Genomic DNA, 25,647 nt, shown 5'->3' on the forward strand with positions numbered 1-25,647 from the left:
TCCCCGATACTGTTTTTGTGGTAGTGAATAAGTCTCACAAGATCTGGTGGTTTTATCAGGGGTGTCCGCTTTTGCATCTTTCTCATTTTCTCTTGCCACCGCCATGTAAGAAGTGCCTTTCACCTCCCACCATGATTCTGAGGCCTCCCCAGCCATGAGGAACTGTAAGTCCAATTAAACCTCTTTTTCTTCTCAGTCTCAAGTATGTTTTTATCGGCAGCATGAAAACAGATTAATATGATGTCTAAATCTCTTGCTAGACTTTGGAACTTTTCAGCTATTATTCTGCTAAATAGGTTTTTGAACACTTTTGTCCTCTCCTCACCTTCTGAGATAACAAAAATTCATATATCATTTGCTTTATAGTGTCCCATATGTTATGAATGCTTCATTCATTCTTTTTTATTCTTTGTTTTTTCATTTTTGTCTGACTGGGTTATTTCAAAAGACCTGTCTTCAAGTTCTGAGATTCTTTCTTCTGCTTAATCTATTGTTGGAGCTTTCAAATATATTTTGTAGTTCATTAAATGAACTCTTCAGTTCTAGAATTTCCATTTGCTCTTTTTTATCATATTTTTCTCTTTGGTAAATTTCTCATTCATATCCTGAATTATTTTTTCTGATTTCTTTGTATTGTTTTTCAGCATTCTCCTGTATCTTGCTGAGCTCCTTTAAAATCAGTATTTTGAATTCTTTTTCTGGGATTTTGTGAAATTTTTTTGATTGGGATCTGTTGCTGGAGAATTATTTTATTCCTTTGGGGGTGTCATATTTCTTGCTCTTTCATGTTTTCTGTGTCCCTACATATCTATGCATCTATGTCTTCTTTGAATTTTTTGAATTTTCTTTTGAGTTTAGGGCTTTTTCCTAAAAATTTATCTATGATGTTTGTTGGGGCCATTTGGCTTTGATTCTGAATGTGTGCAGTAGTGTAGTCTCTATATGATTTCTTTGCCTACAAACAATGTTAGTGGTATCTGTGATTTCCTCAGTGGCTTAGGGTCATTAGTGGAGGCTATGGTGGAGATTTTCTGGGAAAAGGGATTGCAGGTAGGTCAGTCTTCAGGCCCAAGTGGTTGCAGCAGTAGGCTGAGTATACCTGTCCTTTAGCCCCCTGGGTGGTGTATGCTGGCACTGGTGTTAGTTGTCCAGTTGAGCCAATTATCAGGCCTCCACATGTCTTGCCCAGATGCTGGTAATGGCAGTGGTGAGCCAGGTGGGTGTACTGGTTTTCAGCCCCATGTGCAGACAGCATGGTGTGGGCCATGGCAGTAGCAGTGGTAAGATGACTGTCTTATTCCTGAGCAGTGCTCACTGGTGTTGGCAGTGGCTGTGATTGGCTGAGCAGACCCCTCCCCGAGCTCCTAGATGGCACATGTGAGTGTGTGTTTGTGCTGTTGGCAGCAAGGTGAGTGGGCCCATCTTCAGGTTCCTAGGGGGATAAAATAGATGGTATAGGTGGTGGAATAGATAGAATAATCACCAAGTCCTTGGGTGGTGTGCTCAGGCTTGGAGGTGTGGTGCCAATTTGGGAGTGTCTGTCCTCAGGCGCCTGATGGTGTGCAGGGGGATAGGCTGTAGTAGGCAGGTTGAGACAGTCTGTGATGGTTGGTGTGGATACCTGACCTTAGGGCTTGTACTAGAAAGCATAGTGGCCCTGCTGTTTGTATGGGTAGGTTGCTATCAGCAGTCTCCTACAAGCAGCTCTCAGGCTCTGGGAAGTGAATATTTAATCTCTGGCAGCAGCAGTGACTGCAGTGGTGAGTGTGAGGAGCCTGATTTGAGGATGTGCACTAGAGTACAGAACCCGTGCTGCTGGTATGGGCTGGATTGGCACAGGGAGTCTCCAGTTCTAGGTTGCACTTGTTTCAGCTCCCTGCTGCAGTAGTGGCTTCAGCACTGTGCAGAAGATGGAGATGAGGATCCCACCCTCTATTGGTAGCCAGAGCACATGACCATACTGCAGGGGGACAGGGTCACCACCCACAACCCAAACATGTAGCTCTCAGACTTATTTGCTCTTGGAGGCAGCAGCTGCAACAGCACCATGCAGAAGTGAGAAAGAACCCCACCCTCTGTGAGTGAGCTTTAACACAGGCCACACTGCTAATGGGGACATGGTTGCAACTCACAGCCCCAGACAAGCAGCCCTCTCTTGCCCATCCAGCCCCTAGTGGCAGCAAGAGCAGCTGCAGCTGCAGTGAAATGCAGAGAAGGAAAGAGATCCCATTCTCTATACATAAATCCTAGCACAGAGTCCACTCTGCCAGCAGGGTTGTGGTCACTCCTTCCAGCTCCAGTCAGACAGCTCTCAGACCCGCTTGCCTTGGCTCCCAGTGGCAACAACTGCTATGGCACTGTGCACATGTAGAGGGAAAGATCCCACTCTCTCACTGTGAACCCAAGTACAATATGTGACACAGTTAGAGGTGGAGTCACTTATCAAAGCCCCAGAAAGAAAGCTCATCAGCTCTGGAAAGCATGTAATTTGGCTTCCTTTGTGCCCAGTGGCCACCTCCTTGGTGTGCTGCACCATTTTTTTTCCCCAGGGAGTAGTACTCTGTTGGACTAAAGTACTGGGGACCCCAAGCATCTTTGGGCTCAGCCAATGCTGTGCCTCCGTAGCCCTCTGGGTGGACACCAGGGGATATAAACAGAGGTTCCCAGGATGTGGAGATGGGACAGCTGTTGTTCCCAGAGCAGGATGCAGAATGGTGATGGCTAGGCTCTCACAGTGGTGCCATGCTGTAGCCACTTAGATCTCAGGAGTGTGTGTGACCCAGTGCATTTTCTATCTGGTACAATGCCCTCATTGGGTCTCCAGATGAACACCCACACTAGTCTTAGGGTTAATGTGGGTACAGGAGCTCTCCAATGGTTGGGATTGCAGCAGTCCACAGTGAGGATGTAAGCCAATGAGGGTATCCCACTTACCCTTTCTCTGCAAAAAGGAGCCCCTATGGGCTCACAGCCAATCTTGGCCAAGCTAACCCCTTGCTTTCTTCCCCTTCTGTGTCTCAGATATTTCTCTTTTGGACTCCGGTGTTCTCTACTAGATGTTTTATCTGAAATGTGATTATCTATTTGGTTAAGTTTTGTTTCTTCTGTCTGGAGAAGGCAAGTGCCCGATGCCTCTAGTCAGCATCTTGAAGCTGTCTCTACATTCAAGATATTTCTAATTTATTGATGCGGATATTTATTGCTGTAAACTTCCTTCTTAGAACTGCTTTTGCTGTATCCCATAGGTTTTGGTGTGTTGTATTTCCATTTTCATTTGTTTCAATAAATTTTTAAATTTTTTCTTTGCCTCATTTGTTATTCAAGAGCGTGTTGCTTAATTTCCATGTATTTGTATAGTTTCCAAAGTTCTTTCTGTTATTGATTTCTAGTTTTATTCCACTGTAGTCAGAAAAGATACTTTCTATGTTTTTAATCCTTTTTAATTTGTTTAGACTTGCTTTGTGGCCTAACTTATGATCTATCCTGGAGACGGTTACATTTGCGAATGAGAAGAACATACATTGTTAGTTACTGGGTGGAATGTTCTGTAAACGTCTGTTAGGTTTATTTGCTCTAGAATGCAGTTTAACTTTGATACTTCTTCATGGATTTTGTCTAGAAGTTCTGTTTATTTCTAAAAGTGGAGTTTTGAGGTCCCTTACTATTATTGTATTGCTGTCTATCTCTCCCTTTAGATCAAATAATATTTGTTTTATATATTTGGGTGCTGGATGCACATATATTTGCTATTGTTATATCTTCTTCCTTAATATACTTCTTAATCATTATGTAATGGCCTTCTTTGTCTCTTTTTACATTTTTTTATTTGAAGTCTATTTTATCTGAAATAAGTATAGTTACTTCTGTTTAGCTTTGGTTTCCATTTGTATGGAACATCATTTTCTATCCCTTCATTTTCAGTCTATGTGTGTCTTTACAGGTGAAGTGAGGTTCTTGTAGGTAGCAAATAATTGAGTCCTTTTTTAATCCATTCAGTCAATCTACGTTTTTTAATTGGGGAAATTAACTTGTTTACCCTGAAAGTTATTGTTAACACTTGAAGACATACTCTCTGATTTTGTTAATTGTTTTCTGGTTGTTTTGTATATATTATTTTTTCTTTCTTCCCTTCTCATTGTTTATCTTTGTGGCTTGGTTGTTTTCTGTAGTGATAAACTTTGATTCCTTTCTCTTTTTCATTTGTGTATCTACTGTCATTTTTTTCTTTCTGATTAGTATGGGGCTTACATTTTATTGAAATCTACCCATTATATGACCTTCTTTCATAAACTGTTTCTTCTCCTTTATTCCTTATTTTGGTTAATAAACTGCAATATATGTGAAACAAAGCTCAAGATATTAGATTTGCTAAGTAGCTCATAAGAACAACCTCCCTTTCTCATCTTCATGCTACATCTTTGTTTAGGTTTTTTATCATGTCACCTAAATCGTTGCTATGTTGGGTTTGGGCTTTTTTTTTTTTTTTTGGCTTAGCTTTCATTTTTTATTTTGAGGCCACCCTCCATACTGCTATCACACTGATCTTTCTGAAATACAAATAACTTGCTAACCATTTTCCTGTTCAAAATATTTTATTTGTTCCCTTTTCCCTCTTGGATGAATTTAAAACTTCTTAGTGTGGCATAAAAGACTTTTAATACTATAACTCCAATTTTTCTAGTTTTTCCTATCATATCATTTTTCACTGTCTCCTCACAGAGAAGCTATGCTCCTTTTACATGCTTCTTGTTTTTCTCTCAATATGGCATAGCCCTTTATAAAATAAAAATATTTATAAGAGTATTTGGAAAACAATCCATCACTGCAAAATATTACAAATTTTTGAAAATGGACATTTTCAACATATATGAAGAGTAGTTTCCTTTCATTCATAGTAGTTTCCCTTCACTTGCAACTTTAGCATATTGAAAATTAACATTTAGAATTTTGATGATCCTCTATTTTGATTTTATTATGAAACAACACAAAATTCTAGCACAAGAGAAGGAAATTCATCCTCACCTCAGGTCCTTATTTCCCAGGAACCAGCATTGTTGTACTATTTCTACTTCACCAAATATATTCTGATTGGTAATTAGCCTTTCCAAGGAGATTCTGAATTCATTGAATCATCCAGTAACATATTGATAATGTCATTAAATCTGAGAAGTGTAATAATGATTTCCATGTCACTGGTTAGCTGGTCAGCAAAAAAGCAAATGCATGATTCTCATCTATAAGTTTCAATAGCAGTAATTACAATGTACTCATGATGGTTTAGGCAGCCATAGATATCCTAGAAATAGGCAATGACAAATTTCACATACTTTCTACTTCTAGGTCAAATGTTATTGCCTTCCTTTACCACCTGGAATGTTTCTACTTACCTCTCAAGATCGATCCAAATAACAGCTTTTGACATCATGTCTATTTTCTTGATAAAGCTAGCTGACCAATCTCCTTGCTTCTCATAATACTTGCAATATCTATCCTATTACACAGGTTTTATTTTTGGCTTTTATGTTTGTCTTTTAAGTAGGTTACTTAAGGACATGGATTTTACATCAATCATTTAAAAAATTACCAGCCCTTAGTGCACTGACTGCTGTGACAAAGGTGCTGAATAAATATTTGCAGCAATGATATTTTTTTCCTTCTCCTCCATACATATTCCCTGTCATTTCTGAGCTTTTTCCTGCTTCATAAATTTTTCAAAGATTAACTTGTCCTGGAGAGAAAATGTTGAGTACACCATTGCTATAGTGACAAGCTTCACCTATTTCCATGTGTGTTGCAGATTCCTCCATGTGAAAATGCCCCCCACATAATATACCATGAGTCTCAGAGAGGCACAAGAGATAGGGATATTGCAAAGAGGCTGCAATATCCTTCACGACAGGATCTCAACTCCAAATGGAAAAAAAGTGTTCTGCAACCTCCACAATGTAAAATGAAAGTTAATGTATGGGAAATAAAGCCTCCTGATTTTAGCTACAAACTGTATACATCTTTGAGAATTCCAGAAAGATCATCAAAACCAATTAAGGAAGAAAAAAGGAGGAAAAAAATCAGTTTTCCAGAAACAATGCTTCACTTGCCCAGCATAAGGAATCATCCTAAGGAGGTTACAGCTCCTAAATTTATAACTACATTTCCACATCTGGATTTACAAAAAGCAAAGTTAATGTTTGTGAAGAGTGGACAATATCCAAGGGGTGTATATGTCAATCCCAAACCACATGACTTTCGACAGGTAAAAAAGAGCATTTGAATAAAAACTATTTAAGATAGATAAGGGGAACTATGTATTATTTTTTATTCATTTCTTAATGAGAAAAACTATTACATATAGGAAAATGGTATGTGTATATAATGTGTATAATGCTGCCTTTTTTTCTCATGGTACAATACAATTCACATTTAGCAATAAATGATAGAACAGAGAGGTAAGAACCTGATTGATTCTGATGAGGTTTTATCTGCCAGGTCAAGTGGCCAACTCTGAGATAGGCTTTCTTAGGTTTCAAGAGAACAGGTTGGGTTTAGATATGATTGGAGAACAGACATCAGTTGCCAGGAGTTTATAACCTACTACTAATAAAATAAATTTGTGGAATAAATTGGTGAATGAATGAAAATAGTTAAAAAGGGATATTCTATTACTTTAATGAATCTTTTGGATGATTAATAATTTAAATAATATATGGGCAATAATTAGATTTATAATTTAAAAGTGTGATGAAGTATATGGAGATGCAGATAAGGTCAAATATTTATGCAAAATATAATTCCACTAAAATGTGAATATATTCTGTTCTCAGATCTATAATTTAGAACATAAATGTGACTTGCTAGGCAAAGAGTTAAACAGTAGAACTGATAGAACAGGATCTAGAAATAGTGAGATAAAAGAATAAGTGTATTCCAGTGGGAAAATGTAGAATAGTAGTTAAGAGCATGGCTTCTAAGATCAGAGTATCCCTGTTCTTTTATTTTCTAATAACTTTAGACAAGATACTAAGCCTTTTTGATTATTTATAATGTGGGTTAATAATGCTACATACTTTTTATGGTTATTTTAAGCAACGAACGAAACAGTATATGCAAAGCACAACAGAATCTGAAATGTTGAGGTATTCGATGAATGTTAACTCTATGAGCTATTAGGATAAAATTTGGAAAATACAGGGAGCTATAGTCAATAACTCTCTTTACTTATTCAGGGCATCTAAATATTTTCATTCATAGTAAATAATATATGTTACCTTTTAGAGATGAGGGAGGTCATGTAAATATTTCCATTCATAGTAAATAACATATGTTACCTTTTGGAGATGAGGGAGGTCATTTAAATATTAAATGTTACTGGTTTATTTAAATACCTTACTAGGCCAGGAGCAGTGGCTCATACCTGTAATCCCAGCACTTTGGGAGGCCACAGTGGGAGGATCATGAGGTCAGGAGTTCGAGACCAGCCTAACCAACATGGTGAAACCCCGTCTTTACTAAAAATACAAAAATTAGCCAGGTGTGGTAACACGTGCCTGTAATTCCAGCTACTTGGGAGGCTGAGGCAAGAGAATCGCTTGAATTTGGGAGGTGAAAGTTGCAGTGAGCCGAGATCTCACCACTGCACTCCATCTCAAAAAATAATAATAAATAAATAAATAAATAAATATTTTACTAATAACAGACTTAAAAACTTGAGTAAATAAAATTCACGGAATAAGGAATATTTTTATTTTAGCTGAATTAACTTGCTTCTATAAATGACTGAATTGGAGGCAGAGTGTTATAAATTGTGTAACCACCAGATGTCAGTATTGTTACAAATTAAACCTCAGTGAAGGCTTTTTGAAACGAACTTGGTCTCATGTTGTATTCAATTAAAGAGCGAAAAATCTTGTATTAGAGAATCTCCTTCTTTGGAACTTTTAATATTGTTCTATACGCTTGTGGCAGGTCACTCATTAAGAATATAACCCTGTTTAATTTCTGCTTGGTACCCTCACTGTTTTGTGCCACGTTTACTTAGCTTTTGAGTAGAGACCTTTGTGATGTTTTATTTGATCAGTTCTTGGAGTGTACAAATTCTATTTCAGTTCAAATTGGTTCAATTAAACCACTAAAAAATCTGCTTTGGTAGTAGCTTATAAAAAAACAGTAACTCTCTTCCAGGCTTGATAAATTATTTAGCTTTGTTCAATGTTTTTGCTATGTGTCTGAAAGAAGTTCAGCTCCAGAAAAATAATATGCAATTCTATGTGTCATAAATTACAATCAAGTTTAAGATTAGGTTGCTAAGTTTAAGATTGCAAGTTTAAGATTAGGTTAACTAATCTAAATTTTGAATAGACTCCCTTAATTCCACACTGTTTAAGATGCTAATTCTGATCACTTCACAAAAGGGTAATTGAAGTACTCCTCTCTACCACAAAAATGAATTGTTTATACACTATTTAAATCTTAGATCATTTTTTCAAATTTTCATAAACAAGTTTTAAATGCTACATTTGAATGCCACAACAAAATCATCAAAATTACGTTTTACCAAGGAAATATTTAATATTAGGAAAAATCAAACTCCAACTACAATGAGAAACAATATGTATTAATAATATTGCAATCTTTCCTTTACATATCTAGTACCAACCTGGTTTACCAAACTTTGAGACAACTTATGAAAAGGACCCCTTTGGATTAAAATTTAAATCACAACACTTAAGTACAGGTAAGCTGTTAAGATGTTATGAATATTGGAAAAAAAACTCTGCATTCCATATTAGTAGTAGTAAATTCATAGGCTTAAAACTAAATAGGTGGATTTTATTATCACCTTTAATAATACGGTAAATTTTTTAATGTCCTTTTAATTATTTGCAACAATACGTTTACTTTTCTACCACAACTGTTACTATATTATTAAAGATAATATTTGTAAATCAATGTCTCATGTATAGAGAATAAATAGAGTGTAATGCTTAAGGGAATAAACTCTGGAGCCCAGCTGTGCAACTTTGAATCTTGGCTTCACTGCCCCAAATCACCTAAACTGTCTATCTATTGGTTTCCTTATCTGGAAATGCAGATGATAACAACTGAATCTACATCATAGAATTACTGTGAGCATTAAATCTGCTAAAAGCACTTAGTAATGTATTAAAAAACACATGGAAATAACATACACACATGCATGCTATAATTACTGTTATGGTGCCATTTGTTAAGTGTTAATTCAGAGTTAATTTGTATTATTTAGCATTTCTTATTTGGATTAGGAGGGACAATATCTGAATGCTATATTTACATATTATAATTATATATAAATTAACCAATAAGATGTTAACAGTGTTTGTCTCTGGATAGTGAGATCACAGTTACATTTTATTTCCTCTTTTTCAAAATAACGAGCAAATAATTTTATACCTGTAAAACTAAGATAATTTATTTACAAATATTGTACACATTTTAGCATGTGTTATACTTATAAAAGTGTCATCTAGCTGTGTAATTGAAATGGAACATGTCAACTTTCCTAGTATATGCTATGTGTCACTCACTTTGGTAGAAAATGCCATCTAGCTGTGTAATTGAAATGGAACATGTCAACTTTCCTAGTATATGCTATGTGTCACTCACTTTCGTAGAAAATGCCATCTAGCTGTGTAATTGAAATGGAACATCTCTACTTTCCTAGTATATGCTATGTGTCACTCACTTTGGTAGAAAATGCCGTCTAGCTGTGTAACTGAAATGGAACATGTCTACTTTCCTAGTATATGCTATGTGTCACTCACTTTGGTAGAAAATGCCATCTAGCTGTGTAACTGAAATGGAACATGTCAGCTTTCCTAGTATATGCTATGTGTCACTCACTATGGTAGAAAATGCCACCTAGCTGTGTAATTGAAATGGAACATGTCAGCTTTCCTAGTATATGCTATGTGTCACTCACTTTGGTAGAAAATGCCACCTAGCTGTGTAATTGAAATGGAACATGTCAGCTTTCCTAGTATATGCTATGTGTCACTCACTATGGTAGAAAATGCCACCTAGCTGTGTAATTCAAATGGAACATGTCAGCTTTCCTAGTATATGCTATGTGTCACTCACTTTGGTAGAAAATGCCATCTAGCTGTGTAATTGAAATGGAACATGTCAGCTTTCCTAGTATATGCTGTGTGTCACTCACTTTGGTAGAAAATGCCATCTAGCTGTGTAATTGAAATGGAACATATCTACTTTCCTAGTATATGCTATGTGTCACTCACTTTGATAGAAAATGCCATCTAGCTGTGTAATTGAAATGGAACATGTCAGCTTTCCTAGTATATGCTGTGTGTCACTCACTTTGGTAGAAAATGCCATCTAGTTGTGTAATTGAAATGGAACATGTCAGCTTTCCTAGTATATGCTAAGTGTCACTCACTTTGGTAGAAAATGCCATCTAGCTGTGTAATTGAAATGGAACATGTCAGCTTTCCTAGTATATGCTATGTGTCACTCACTTTGGTAGAAAATGCCATCTAGCTGTGTAATTGAAATGGAACATGTCTACTTTCCTAGTATATGCTATGTGTCACTCACTTTCGTAGAAAATGCCATCTAGCTGTGTAATTGAAATGGAACATGTCAGCTTTCCTAGTATATGCTATGTGTCACTCACTTTGGTAGAAAATGCCATCTAGCTGTGTAATTGAAATGGAACATATCAGCTTCCTAGTATATGCTATGTGTCACTCACTTTGATAGAAAATGCCATCTAGCTGTGTAATTGAAATGGAACATGTCAGCTTTCCTAGTATATGCTAAGTGTCACTCACTTTGGTAGAAAATGCCATCTAGCTGTGTAATTGAAATGGAACATGTCAGCTTTCCTAGTATATGCTGTGTGTCACTCACTTTGGTAGAAAATGCCATCTAGCTGTGTAATTGAAATGGAACATGTCAGCTTTCCTAGTATATGCTATGTGTCACTCACTTTGGTAGAAAATGCCATCTAGCTGTGTAATTGAAATGGAACATGTCTACTTTCCTAGTATATGCTATGTGTCACTCACTTTGGTAGAAAATGCCATCTAGCTGTGTAATTGAAATGGAACATATCTACTTTCCTAGTATATGCTATGTGTCACTCACTTTGGTAGAAAATGCCATCTAGCTGTGTAATTGAAATGGAACATGTCAGCTTTCCTAGTATATGCTATGTGTCACTCACTTTGGTAGAAAATGCCATCTAGCTGTGTAATTGAAATGGAACATGTCAGCTTTCCTAGTATATGCTATGTGTCACTCACTTTGGTAGAAAATGCCATCTAGCTGTGTAATTGAAATGGAAAATGTCAGCTTTCTTAGTATATGCTATGTGTCACTCACTTTGGTAGAAAATGCCAGAGATTCTTTGTAAGACGCAGCCCCTGACTTCAAACATATTTTAAGGAAAACTTAAGGTAGAGTGCAAAATATACCATCCCACAGGAGACACTTTAGAACGATGGGTCCAGAGAAATAAAAGGTGGGATTGGAGTTGGAGTTTGAAGAAAGACAAAATTAACTCCAGCAGGACTGGCAGAAAGAATAAGAAAAGTTTTGTTTAGATTTACATCTATAAATTATCCAGCGACTTACCACTCCTGGGTCCTGATCTCCAAAAATGATACATCTGAGAGACATCATGAACAAAGACACGTGCCATTGCTAAGCCTCTCATTTGTCTTCCTATCTCTAGTACATGGGTACCAGTTACCGAAAGATGATAAACAGAAGACTAGTACAGAAAGATTTATCACCCACAAGCATTGTGAATGCACCTGGGATTCAAAACTAATTTTGACGAAAGCCCCATGGCCTGTTAGATCTGCTTCATATACAGTGAGTTTGACTTTCTCTATAGCTGTTGGAAAATGTCTCCAGCACTGTTGTCGACAATTGCTTTAGTGCAGGAGTTTTTTATTTGTTGTAGTGTAAAATATATTTCTGTCTTTAAAAATAAAGCATATAGCCGCTGCTTTTTTTGTGAAATACAAATAGTGGATTATCTAGAACTTTGGATTTTCTTTTCTTTTATTTCTAGATCTTGATAAAAGAATAAGTGTATTCCAGTGGGAAAATATAGAATAGTAGTTAAAAGCATGGCTTCTGAGATCAGAGTATCCCTGTTCTTTTACTTTCTAATAACTTTAGACAAGATACTAAGCCTTTTTCATTATTTATAATGTCGGTTAGTAATGCTACATACTTTTTATGGTTATTTTAAGTAATAGCTATAGGGAATACAGTGTTGATGAAAGAAGCCAAACTCTGTAAAATATTTGAAGAGATTTATTCTGAGCCAAATTGGTGACCATGACCTGTAACACAGTCTCAGGAGGTTCTGAGAACATGTGGCCCAAGGTGGTTAGTTTACAGCTTGGTTTTATACATTTTAGGGAGATAGAAGTTACAGGCAAAGACATAAATCAATACATGTAAGGTATACATTGGTTTCACCTGGAAATGCAGGACATCTCGAAGTTTGGAGGCTTCCAGGTCATAAGTAGATTTGATGCATGGTGGGCAAGCCCCAAAACTGGGGCATAGCCGGGAACGTTCTTGGCTTCACCCAAGAAAGAATTCAAGGGCGGGCCTGTGGTGTTAGACGGCATCTTTTATTGAGTACAGCAGCAGAGGTACTGCTCCTCGCGAAGCAGGACTACCCATAGGCAGTGTGCTCCGCGCACAGCTCAGGGGCAGTTTTGCAGTCATATTTACACCCACTTTTAACTACATGCAAATTAAGGGGTGGGTTATCCAGAAATTCCTAGAAAAGAAGTGGTACCTTCCGGATGTTGCCACAGCAATGGTGGGGCTGTCTCGTGGAGAGATGCTTTCAATGCCTCTTCCCTATTTTAACCAGTCTTCCATCTGGTCTGGAGTTGAGTCCCGCCTCCTACCTCAGATTCAAAGATTCCCCAATTGGCAACTGGTTGAGAGTTAAGCTTTGTCTGTTAAGTCAGCTTGAGTTAAGGTAAAGAGTGGGGGTTGTGGAAGCCAAGGTTCTTGTCATGTAGTCGAAGACTCCAGGTAGCAGGCTTCAGAGACAATAGATGTGGAGGTCTCTTCTCAGACCTTAAAAGATATGAGACTGTCTGCAAAAGAGAGACAGCTTTGCAGGGCCATTTTGAAAGATGCCAAAAAAGTATATTTGGGGGTAAAATACTTTTATTTCCTCCAGGGCCTGCTATCTGTCATGTGATGCGACACTAGAGTCAGGCTGAAATCGGTATTTTGTTGCTGCAAAGAGCTGTTTGTTTTGTCAGTCTTAAGATCTCTGTTTTAATGTTAACGCTGGTGAGTTGCGCCTGAATTCCAAAGGGAGGAGGGTATAATGATCCATGTCCCACCTTCTCACCTTCTCTTCCCATCAGGGCCTGAACTTTTTTTTCAGGTTTCTTTGTGTCCCCTCACTCATGAAGGGGGTCCATTCATCTGATTGGGGGCCTTAGAATTTTATTTTTGTTTTACAAAGGCTTAAATATTGTAAGAAATTTTTCCCAAATTTCCTCTTATCTCATTGGAAATCACGAGAAGTTTAGTGAGTGACACTCATGTGAGAAGGCCTGAAAAGACTCTTGTAGAAAAAAATGTTGAGAACACATACTTTTACCCTGGCTGAAATTCTGCCCTAGTCACATAAGGATGCTTCGTAAGCCCTTTATGTCTAAGCAGAACAAGATGTGAATCTGGAATACAGATACACTTTTAAAGCAAAGATTATTAAACAGCAAATTTTAACAAGTAAACAATTAAAGTTAATACATGTCTGCTTTTACTAACTTCCTTTGTACCATCTTCCTTCAGAGACATAGAAGGCAGCGTGATGCATACAGTGCATTTATGGATCGTGTGGAAGAAAAGTTTACAAAGATATGCAAGAGCAGGTGGGCAAAAAAATTAGGATTTGTTGTTAGATACTTATATTAACTCTTTAACATTACTACTCAATTTCTGTTTTAAATAAAACATATTTTATCATATAAGTGCTCTACTGTCATAGGAACTATAAGTGAAATAGTTGCATGGTGCTTAACTGTTTTAAGTGGAGCCTGAAAGAATCCAATCCCATTATCAAATAATTATTATTTGAGAATTTCATTGCAACCTGTTTCCTACGTGCATAATCACCTCTCACAGCTCTCTTTATTCACATGTCAATGTCATCTCTGAGAAGTGGGGAGGAGGGCAGATTAATGTAGTAGAGTTTGGGCTTTGAGTTTGGTGAAATGAATTCAAATTAAGAGTAATCCACCTGTAATTTGTGATCTTGGATGATTTGCTTAAATTTTCTGATCCTATTTTCTCAGGTTTTTGGAGAATTAAATAAGATGATATATACAAACTGCTGGCACAGTCCCTCATATCTTCTTGATTCAATTATTACTATTATTGTTAATGATAATATAGATATGGCCTTGCATGACCATGGAAAAGTAACATTACCTGTGGCTTAGTTTTCTCATCTGTAGAATGTCAGTAATAATAGTACCAACTTTGCAGAGTTACCATTGAAATGGCTGCATTGTCTGGGGAATTAACCATGGTTCGTTGTCTTGTGTTGAGAAAGAATTCAGGACACAGACACATGTGGGTGGGTTAAGGAGCAGAAAGTTTAATAGAAGAAAGGAGAAAGGAGAGCAGCTCCTTTCCAGAGAGAGAGAAACATCGGAAAAAGGGGAAAGTAGGCCTACTGCAGCAGATTTTATAGGCAGGGTGGAGGAGGCGGTGTCTGATTTACATAGAGCCCACAGATTGATTCGATTAGATATGACATTTACATAGCCTAGGCTGGCCACCCCACCCTAATCTTATTATGCAAATGGACTCTCCACTGACCAGTGCCATCTTGTCTGCTCCTTACTGTACATGTGGCTGGCAAAGGGAAGGGAAGATGGAGCCGCCATTTTGAACATGCCTGGTCCCAGGTAGTTATTTCCTACAGGCCAGCATTCACCTGTGGAAGCTTCTAGCTTGCTTGTCTGTGTCTGCAGCTCAATTTTACAGGCTGCTCTTTTTTAGGAAATGATTTGGGGCTGCTTTTCATTAAAAAGAAAAACCTGGCCGGGCATGGTGGCTCACGCCTGTAATCCCAACACTTTGGGAGGTCAAGGTGGGTGAATCACGAGGTCTGGAGTTCGAGACCAGCCTGACCAACATGGTGAAACCCTGTCTCTACTGAAAATACAAAAAATTAGCTGGGTGTAATGGTGGGCGCCTGTAATCCCAGCTCCTTAGGTGGCTGAGGCAGGAGAATCACTTGAACCTGGGAGGCAGAGGTTGCAGTGAGCCAACATTGTGCCACTGCACACCAGCCCGGATGACAGAGTGAGACTCTGTTTCAAAAAAAAAAAAAAGAAAAAGAAAAACCTTACTGAAGCCTCCCATACCCTATCTGCCTGATTAATTTTTTCTTAACTCCTGTACCACTATGAATAGTCGAAGTTTGCATTTGTGAAACACTTGGAATACAGCACACGACACTTAGTACTTGCTATCTAAGTATTTTATGAATAACAATTCAAAACTATGCTTTTTTTGCATACAATATAAAATATATATAATGTCTAGAGCTTTCTGGAAGATGAGAGAGGCTACTCAGTAAGATTGATCTTTGGATTTCTATGAGGGAGTACACAGAGTGAACAGTCAGCAGACAGCTATCTCTAGGAGGACCACAGGACAGATGAATATAAAAAGAGTAGATATGTGACCAGAAAGCTGTCTCCAGATGGGTAAGAATTTGTTTTAAGTGGTGGATATAGAGTCATCCTACTAATGATTTAGGATGTAGACTTATCCTTACCAAGTTTACAAAATGGTCATCTTAAATTGCAAACATCCCGCTGTACATATATAAAATTCTTGATTCCTGTAGCATAGTGGGAGCTTCTCCTCTATAACTGATGTGCTTGAGCTTGGTAATTGGTGGCTCAACATAAAAGAAAATGGCATGGTAGTCCATCAGCAAAAGTTTCTTTTGTTGTTGTTGTTGTTTTGTTTGTTTGTTTTTGAGATGCAGACTCGCTCTGTCACCCAGGCTGGAGTGCAGTGGTGTGATCTCAGCTCACAGCAACTTTCACCTCCCAGGTTCAAATGATTCTCCTGCCTCAGCCTCCTGAGTAGCTGGGATTACAGGTTCCCATCACCATACCCACCTAATTTTTGTATTTTTAGTAGAGACAGGGGTTTGCCATGTTGGCCAGGCTGGTCTCGAACTCCTGACCTCAGGTGATCAACCTGCCTCAGCCTCCAAAAGTGCTGGGATTACAGGTGTGAGCCACAGCGCCCAGCCACCAAAGGTTTCTTTTTTTTTTTTTTTTTTCTTTGAGATGGAGTCTCGCTCTGTTGCTCAGGCTGGAGTGCAGTGGTACGATCTCAGTTCACTGCAAGCTCCACCTCCCGGGTTCACACCATTCTCCTGCCTCAGCCTCCAGAGTAGCTGGGACTACAGGTGCCCGCCACCACGCCCAGCTAATTTTTTGTGTTTTTAGTAGAGACAAGGTTTCACCACGTTAGCCAGGATGGTCTCGATCTCCTGACCTCGTGATCCACCTGTCTCGGCCTCCCAAAGTGCTAGGATTACAGGCGTGAGCCACCATACCTAGCCCCCAGCCACCAAAAGTTTCTTATAGTGGTTACAGAAAATCATAGATTATTACTGCTGCCTGTAACACTATGAATTCTCAGTCAGAACTTCAACTTTCATAGGTGTCACTGGGAAGCATACTTCAAAAGCAAATCTACCTCAGTATTTCACAGGCTTCTCAAAATAGAAATGTTTTCATCTGAAGTTGTAGTTCCTCTTATTTTTTCATTTTTTACAAATATTTGATATATTTAGCACACAGATCCCTATGAAGGTTCAAATAAAATGGCTTTATTTTTCTCAAATCATGAATTTTAAATATGCTGTGTTGGATCTCCCTCCCCTCAGCTTGAGAACAACTTTGGCAGAGCCTATAGATTTTCAACATTTCATTTGTACTAGCCCTGTCATTTCTATAATTTAAACTCACATTCAGCCATGAAAAAGCTATGTAAGCAAATTTAAAAATTTTCCGTAATTTAAGATTATGTTCAGCCATGAAAAATTCAGGATAAGAAATATATATGACTTCTATTTCACATCGTGCATAAAGAAGTAAATTCATGTGGATTACAGACCTAAATGTGAAAAGAAAACAATAACCTTTCTGCAATACATTTGGAGAATTAAATGATATCTTTAAAAGAACCACAAAAACACTATCTATAAAGAAAAAATTATTGAATGTTCTACTTGAAACATTAAAACTACAAACTTCTGTTAAAATACATCATTAGGAGAGTGAAAAGGCAGACAGAGAGCTTAGAGAAAATATTTGCTACTCATATAAGCAAGAAAATGGTTTATATTAATAATATATAAAGAACTCATGCAAATAAATAAGAAATAGGCATGTAATCCAATGGAAAATAACAGGAGGCTGGGCATAATGGTTCATTCCTATAATTCCAACACTGGTAAGCCAAAGTGGGAGGAACTCTTGAGCCCAGGAGGCTGAGACCAGCATGGACAACATTAGGAAATCCTGTCTCTACAAAACATTTAAAAAATTAGCCAGATGTGGTAGTACACACCTGTGGTCTCAGCTACACTAGAGGCTGAGGCGGGAGATTTACTTGAGCCCAGAAGGTTGAGGCTGCAGTGTTCTCTCCACTGCATTCCGGCCTGGGGGACAGAGCAAGACCCTGTCTCAAAGAAAGGGAGGGAGGGAAGAAGGAAGGAGGGAAGGAAGGAAGGAAGGAAGGAAGGAAGGAAGGAAGGAAGGAAACAGATTTCATACAAGAAGATCTCTAAATGACAAAACATGAAAATGTGTTCATCTTCACAAGTAATCAGGGAAATATGCAGTAAGATGCACAATGGACTACTATTGCACACCCACCAAAATAGCCAAAATAAGAAGATAAACAACAGGAAGCATAGGTTTATTCATCCATTTTCATGCTGCTGATTAAGACATACCCAAACTGGGCAATTTACAAAAGAAAGAGGTTTATTGGACTTACAGTTCCACATGGTTGGGGAGACCTCACAATCATGGTGGAAGGCAAAAAGGAGCAAGTCACATCCTATGTGGATGGCAGCAGGCAAAAAGAGAGCTTGTGCAGGGAAACTCTTGTTTTTAAAAACCATCAGATCTCATGAGACCCATTCACTATCACAAGAACAGCATGGGAAAGAACTGTCCCCATGATTCAATTAGCTCCCACTGGGTCCTTCCCAGAACACATGGGAATTCAGGATGAGATTTGGGTGGGGACATAGCCAAACCATATCATTCCACCTCTGGCCCCTCCCAAATCTCATGTCCTCACATTTCAAAACCAATCATGTCTTCCCAACAGTCACCCTAAGTTTTAACTCATTTCAGAATTAACTCAAAAGTCCACGGTCCAACATCTCTTCTGAAACAAAGCAAGTCCCTTCTGCCTATAAGGCTATAAAATCAAAAGCAAGTTAGTTACTTCCTAGATACAATGGCGGTACAGGCACTGGGTAAATACAGCAATTCCAAATGGGAGAAATTGGTCAAAACAAAGGGGCTACAGACCCCATGCAAGTCCGAAATGCAGCACAGCAGTCAAACCTTAAAGCTTCAAAATGATCTCCTTTGACTCCATGTCTCACATCCAGGTCATGCTGACACAAGAGGTGAGTTCCCATGGACTTGGGCAGCTCCACTCCTGTGGCTTTGCAGGATACAGCCTCCCACCCAGCTGCCTTCATGGGCTGGTGTTAAGTGTCTATGGCTTTTCCAGGCACACAGTACAAGCTGTCAGTGAATCTACCATTCTGGGGTCTGTAGGACAGTAGCCCTCTTTTCACAGCTCCAATAGTTGGTACCCCAGTGAGGACTCTGTGTGGGGGCTCCCACAGCACATTACCTGTCTGTACTGCCCTAGCAGAGGTTCTCCATGAGGACCCCATCCCTACAGCAAACTTCTGCTTGGGCATCCAGATGTTTCCCTACATTTTCTGAAATCTAGTCGGAGGCTCCCAAACCTCAATTCTTGACTTCTGTGCACTCACAGGCTCAACACCATGTGGAAGTTGCCAAGGCTTGAGACTTGCACCCTCTGAAGCCATAGCCTGAGCTCTACGTTGGCCTCTTCCAGCCATGGCTGGAGCAGCTGGGACATAAGGCACCAAGTCCCTAGGCTGCACACAGCACGGGGACCCTGGTCCTGGCCCATGAAACCATTTTTTCTTCCTAGGCCTCTGGGCCTGTGATGGGAGGGACTGCCAAAAAGTTCTCAGACATGCCGTGGAGACATTTCCCCCATTGTCTTGGGGTTTAACATTCAGCTTATCATTACTTATGCAAATTTCTGCAGCCAGGTTGAATTTCTCCTCAGAAAACGCTTTTTTTCTTTTCTATCACATTGTCAGGCTGCAAATTTTCTGAACTTTTATGCTCTGCTTCCCTTATAAAACTGAATGCCCTTAACAGCACCCAAGTCACGTCTTAAATGCTTGGCTGCTTAGAAATTTCTTCTGCCAGATACCCTAAATTATCTCTCTCAAGTTCAAAGTTCCACAAGTCTCTAGGCCGGGGGCAAAATGCTGCCAGTCTCTTGGCTAAAACATGACAACAGTCACCTTTACTCCAGTTTTCAACAAGTTCCTCATCTCCTTCTGAGACGACCTCAGCCTGGACTTTATTGTTCATATCACTATCAGCATTTTGGTCAAAGCCATTCAACAAGTCTCCAGGAGTTTCCATACTTTTGCACATTTTCCTCTCTTCTTCTGAGCCCTCCAAACTGTTCCAACCCCTGTCTGTTACCCAGTTCCAAAGTCGCTTTCACATTTTCTGGTATCTGTTCAGCAGCATCCCAGTCTACCAGTACCAGTTTACTGTATTAGTTCATTCTCACACTGCTGATAAAGACATACCCAAGACTGAGCAATTTACAAAAGAAACAGATTTATTGGACTTACCGTTCCACATGGCTGGAGAGGCCTCACAGTCATGGCGGAAGGTGAAAGGCACATCTCACATGGCAGCAGACAAGAGAAGAGAGCTTTTGCAGGGAAACTCCCATTTTTAAAGCCATCAGATCTCGTGAGACTCATTCACTATAACAAGAACAGCACAGGAAAAACCTGCCCCCAGAATTCAATCACCTCCCACTGGGATTCTCCCATGGCACATGGGAATTGTGGGAGTTACAATTCAAGATGAGATTTGGGTGGGGATACAGCCAAACCATATCAATAGGCAAGGGTATAGAGCAATTAGAACTCCTATACACTGCTTGAGGGGGAAGAATTGGAACAAGTACTTTGGAAAAATATTTTGCAATATATTCTAAAGTTGGATGTATACATACATATAACCTATGACACAAAATTCCATTCTAAATGCTGTATAATTAGCTGATATATAAGATATATTTGTATGCACTAAAAGATATATATAGGAATGCTTATAGCAGAATTGCTTGTGATAACCTTTACATTAGAGACAAGTCCAATGCCAATAAATAATAGAATGTATACATAAAAGTATCCATTTATGGTATATTTACACAATAGATTATACAGCAAAGAAAATGAACAAAATGTTGCTATATGCAAGCAATAGGGATGAGTCTCACAAACATACTTAGGAGTTTTTTAAAAGCCAGATGCTCTATATATGTACAATGTATATATATATACACATATCTGTATATACTGCATTATTATTCCATTTATATAAAGGAAAACTCTTGTCCACATGTAAGAAATCAGGAAGTTGGCTTCCTTTGGTTTGAAGGAAAGGAGTACAATAACCTTCTGGGTCCCAGAAATGTAGTATTTTCTGACCTTGATGTTGGTTACATAGATGCATTCACTTTGTGATAACTCCATAGAAATATTTATTTAATATCTATGCACTATTATACGTACATGTAAAACTTTAATAATTTTTTTAATTGGGAGATTCTTTGCAATTGTTTTAAATTTCAAAAAGAAAGAAAGAAAGCCTCATTCATTCTAAATTAACATTCTAATCTCACATCCAATTCAAAATTTGTTTGCTGTTTTCAACAAAATCCTGCCCTGTAGCTCCAGGATCTGGGGAAGAGAACGTTCTGTTGTTTCTCTCTTTCTGCACCTGTCTCAATCACACTCCATTGCTTCTTGGTCTGCCTTTTATCTCCAAGGTGTTGGTGTCCAGAGGAGAAATGGAAGAAACAGGGGCAAAAAGCTCAGGTAACAGAGACTACTGTAATCAGCCATGACATCCTCTGTGTGGCTGATGTTCAAATAGTGACTACTTATGGAGGACATTTTTGCGCATTATTCTCTGTCCTAGACAGAGGCCTCATTTGGCACAGTCCTCTGAGAACCAGCGTCCAGCAACTTGCCCTAAGTCCCTGCCTCAGCCCACTACCTCTTACAGGTCTGATAAGAGGCATCTTATCATTGGTGGGATTACTCACAAGATGGCTGGAGCTCATCAATTTCATTAATTCACTGTGTTTACAGAACCCTCCATACGGCTCACCAAATGGCGTGAGTACAGAAGACCCCCGTTTTCCTTTCCCCTTTCCCTCACGTTGCGAGCCACCCATTTTTACATTTCTAGATAAGAAGTAGGCAGGATGCTCTATGATCAAATGCTCATCCTTAAAACCTCTTGGGGACATATATGAAACCACTCCTCTACCAGGAGCTCCCCAAACACCTTGTACTAAAGGGCTCCACAGGTGGCCTCTGCAGTTCTGTAGCTCAGCAAGCATTCATCCAGAGCAAGCCTGCTGGCTTCCTTCACCCATATGCACCCTTACTCTTTATAAATGATAATCCTGAGCATTCATGAATTGGCTTTGCAGGGATTACCTTATTTTTTCCTTTCTCACAGAAATCAGAAATGGGTATTCCTCAGGGCTTTCCCCCAAGGGTAGTGATGCCTCCTTTAAAAGACAAAGCCTTTAGGGCCGGGCGCAGTGGCTCACACCTGTAATCCAATCACTTTGGGAGGCCAAGGTGGGCGGATCGTGAGGTCAGGAGGTCAAGACCATCCTGGCTAACACAGTGAAACCCCATCTCTACTAAAAATACAAAAAATTAGCCGGGCGTGGTGGCACGCACCTGTAGTCCCAGCTACTTGGGAGGCTGAGGCAGGAGAATGGCATGAACCTGGGAGGTGGAGCTTGCAGTGAACCGAGATCCCACCACTGCACTCCAGCCTGGGTGACAGAGTGAGACTCTGTCTCAAAAAACAAAAAAACAAAGCCTTCAGATGTTTGATTTATTCCTTAATTCCTTAATTTGGACAGAAGAGAGGGTGAGAGTAGTTGGTCTGGCCTATTTACCTTTTAAAAAGCCCCATAGGGATAGAACTTCTAGCAGTTTCTTGATGGTGTTACCAAAACACCAGGGGTTTAGTCTAGGTCCTGCTGCTCACCACACAGAAAGCCAATCACTGAGACAATGAGTATTGCCAAGGAAGAAGTCTTTAATCAGGTGCTGCAGTCAAGGAGATGAGAGCTCAGGCTCAAATCCATCTCTCTAACTGACTAAACCTATGGGTTTATATAACATTCTTCTGTAGAAAGAAATGTAACAATGTGTAAGAAACAGGAACTAGGGAGAGGCAAGGATGCAATCATGATGAATGAGGGCTCCAGGCTTCTCATTGTTAGGATGTCATGATCTGGTGAGTTTCACTTCTTGGATACCTTTTTAAGAGGCCTGAAGGTGCTTTCCTGAGGAAGGAACTCAGATAAAACAAATGTAAGCTTCAAGCTTTAAGAACAGAAAGGTCAATTTCTATGTGTATCAAAAAGAACAGTCTATGGGATTATTGGGTTGGTTTCAATGGAACATAGGAGTTTATATAAAGGAAAACTCTTGTCCATGTGTAAGAAATCAGGAAGTTGGCTTCCTTTGGTTTGAAGGAACCAACCTGTCTCCTAGTTTTAGCTTTGAGGCTTTTCCTCCATTTCAAGGCAACAGGAAACACATCCCATTTCCACATCCTTTAAAAACTTATAGCCCTTCTCTAAAGGAGCTCCTGTCTCCCCTCACCTAAGTGGGAAGCCTCATTGTAACACTTCCCTGCACTATTCTACCCTACTGGTGCTAATACAGAAGGAAAAGTTGAATTGTGTAAGACAGGATGTATTTAGAAGTCCTTAATTTTTGCAGCTTTTAATTGGCATTTATACATCAAACTCAGTAATGTGCAATCATTTTCATAGGCATAACCTCACTCAATTGTCTTCAGACTATGCAGTGTTTAGTCAGGTATTATAATTATTATTATTGTTGTTATAATTTTATAAGCTGGGAAACTAAAGTCTTCACTGGGAATTTAATGTTAACATCACTTATTCAAGATGGCACTCCAAAACACCTTGTACTGTTGCCCTCAGTTGCATGTGCATGCTTTCTGGTAAGTACGAAAAATAAATTTGACCGTTTGGCCAACAGAGTATAGTTCTACTTCCACATCATAGTTGTAGTCATGTTCAACCATTCTTTTTTGTTATCATGCCTTTATAAGCTTGGTTTTAGTTATTTCTGTAGTGAATAAGAGGATTAAGCAAATGACATCTAGCATTTGCAGCCAAGTTTCTTGTCCCAGGAGTGACCTTTCAGGTAAGTCTCACCCTTTATAGAAACTGATTCAGTGAATTCTGTTCACACATTTCTCTTTTGTTCATTTAGATAGCTGATGGACCAAAACAGCATAGGGCTTCCTGAACTCTGGCCTGAATGTTCATCTCCCGTGCATTTCCCAGTGAGAACATTGATGAATTCTGGCACCTTCCTGGATTCTACAGAAATCTGCACTCTCCCAGAGGCATGAGAAAGTGCTAAAACAACAAATGAAAGTTGCATAATTTGAAATTCCCTTGTTACCACAGGGATCAGAATCCAATCATAAGGCTTTTGATTTAGTTTGTGAAAGTTAGATCTTGCAACTATGAGTGGAAATGCTGATAATGTGCTTTCTGTTAATGTCCAAAGTTAAAGATGCTCTAGTCTCAGGTAAAGCTAATGTGAGACAAACAACAATAATGCTTACTAATTTTGACCACCATGTTTCTCTAAGGCCAAAGATTGCAAATTTTATCTGTTTGCCTCCTTCATAGAAATAAGAATTCTCTGGATATAGCATATATTCTACTAAAGGATGACTGTTATGCTGTGTGGGAAAGTAGTAGTTAAAAATCAAATATTTTTACTTTAAAAAATAGAGAACAAGGTAGCAACCAGAATTGAAGTCACTGAAATATAAATGGGGCACTTTCCCAGAGGATGTCATCCAAAGACAAAAAAATAGGAAAGTTTAATTCATGACACAGTGAAGTTCTTCTACGGTTTAAATTGTTCCTAGAAATAGATTTTATTTTCAGGAATCATAGGATACCAGATGGTTAGTGATAGTGTTTATTTCTGAAAAAAAAAAGAAGAAAAAGAAAAGAAAAGAAAAAGAGTATATGTATGAGCTTTGTGTTCACATATACAAGGTGGCATAGGTTGAAATAATCAACATTTATTTAGTATGTTTATGGCATATTGAAATCAATATTTGAATCTTCATTTTTCAGTTTTTTCTAATACACTTTAAGAAGCTTCTCTGAGACACTCAAGTATATCAAAAGAGAGAAGATCTCCAAGTAACAGAAATAATAAATGTCCTTCTTAAAGAACACCAGGCTTGGAGAATTTATAGTTCCAACTAGAAGGAAAGGTCTGTCTTTTAACATGTTAAAATAATTTTCTAAATTTTTGTTTAAATATTTTGAGGGAAAGAAAACAAATGACTTGAAACTTCTTTGCTTCTGATCAAGATTTGATGATTATAATTGAAAATTAATAAAAGGGGAGGGTAGGATTTAATGCTATTGCCAGTTTTATCAAATGGATTATCCTATCACCTTTCCAATTTCACTATGAAAACTACTGAAATAAAGGCAAGTACGTATTTAATAGCATTGTTGACATAAGCAACATTAAGTGGAAAGATGAGGCAATGAAATTAAATCATTTCCCAAAGGATATTTTGCATAATTTAAGTTCCCTGGAATTTTAATGTGTAATTCTTGAAAAGAAATGTGCTCTTTAGAAAAAGAAATGCAGCAAATACTGGATTAAATAAATCAGATACCTGAATTTACTCAGGTTATGCGAGTAGAAAGGCTGAAATGCCCCAGGACTTAGTCCTAGGCCTGATCTCTTTCTTATCTATATACACTCTCTTGGTAATCTCATCGTTTTATTTTTTTTTTTTTTCTTTTAGAGACAGAGTCTCTCTTTCTTGCCCAGGCTGGAGTGCAGTGACACAGTCATGGCCCACTGTAAACTCCTGCAGTGACACAGTCATGGCCCACTGTAAACTCCTGGCTTTGATTCTCCCACCTCAGCCTCCTCCTAATGTCATTCATTCTTATTGGTTTAAATGTCACCAATAACACGTTCACACCCAAGACTTCCTAATATATATACCCAGCACTGAAATATCTTCTGAACGCCAGACTCTTAGACGCTCACCTAGGACAACTTCCTTGACATCTCCCCGTGATCTCTTTTTAGACATTCTCTCAAACTCACCAGATCCAAAA

The 25,647-nt window shown here is 38.6% G+C and overlaps 1 protein-coding gene across 8 annotated transcripts in view, besides 1 other annotated feature; it reads left to right on the forward strand.

Annotated features, from left to right (window-relative positions):
* C7orf78 (chromosome 7 open reading frame 78) overlaps nucleotides 1-25,015 on the forward strand; it is a 58,845-nt gene extending 33,830 nt beyond the window's left edge. For 2 of the 8 annotated variants that reach the window (NM_001386512.1, NM_001386514.1), the window contains 5 exons: nucleotides 5,798-6,253; nucleotides 8,647-8,731; nucleotides 11,729-11,871; nucleotides 13,840-13,919; nucleotides 23,747-24,097. In NM_001386512.1, the coding sequence (NP_001373441.1) occupies nucleotides 5,951-6,253; nucleotides 8,647-8,731; nucleotides 11,729-11,871; nucleotides 13,840-13,919; nucleotides 23,747-23,750 (615 nt within the window). In that variant the 5' untranslated portion in view covers nucleotides 5,798-5,950 and the 3' untranslated portion in view covers nucleotides 23,751-24,097. Of the gene's footprint in view, nucleotides 1-5,797; nucleotides 6,254-8,646; nucleotides 8,732-11,728; nucleotides 11,872-13,839; nucleotides 13,920-21,136; nucleotides 22,039-23,746 lie in introns of those variants that run through there. The other 6 variants (NR_136262.1, NR_136263.1, XM_047419721.1 and 3 more) reach the window with 5 other exon arrangements.
* Nucleotides 2,028-2,127: an enhancer, noted in NCBI's record as "active region_25664". NCBI's record gives its function as "activates an Ori minimal core promoter by ATAC-STARR-seq in GM12878 lymphoblastoid cells {active_cell/tissue: GM12878}" and the evidence as "EXISTENCE:reporter gene assay evidence [ECO:0000049][PMID:35858748]".
* Nucleotides 25,016-25,647: the final 632 nt, after the last annotated feature.

Source organism: Homo sapiens, chromosome 7 (genome assembly GCF_000001405.40).
Source record: "Homo sapiens chromosome 7, GRCh38.p14 Primary Assembly".
NCBI lineage: Eukaryota > Metazoa > Chordata > Mammalia > Primates > Hominidae > Homo > Homo sapiens.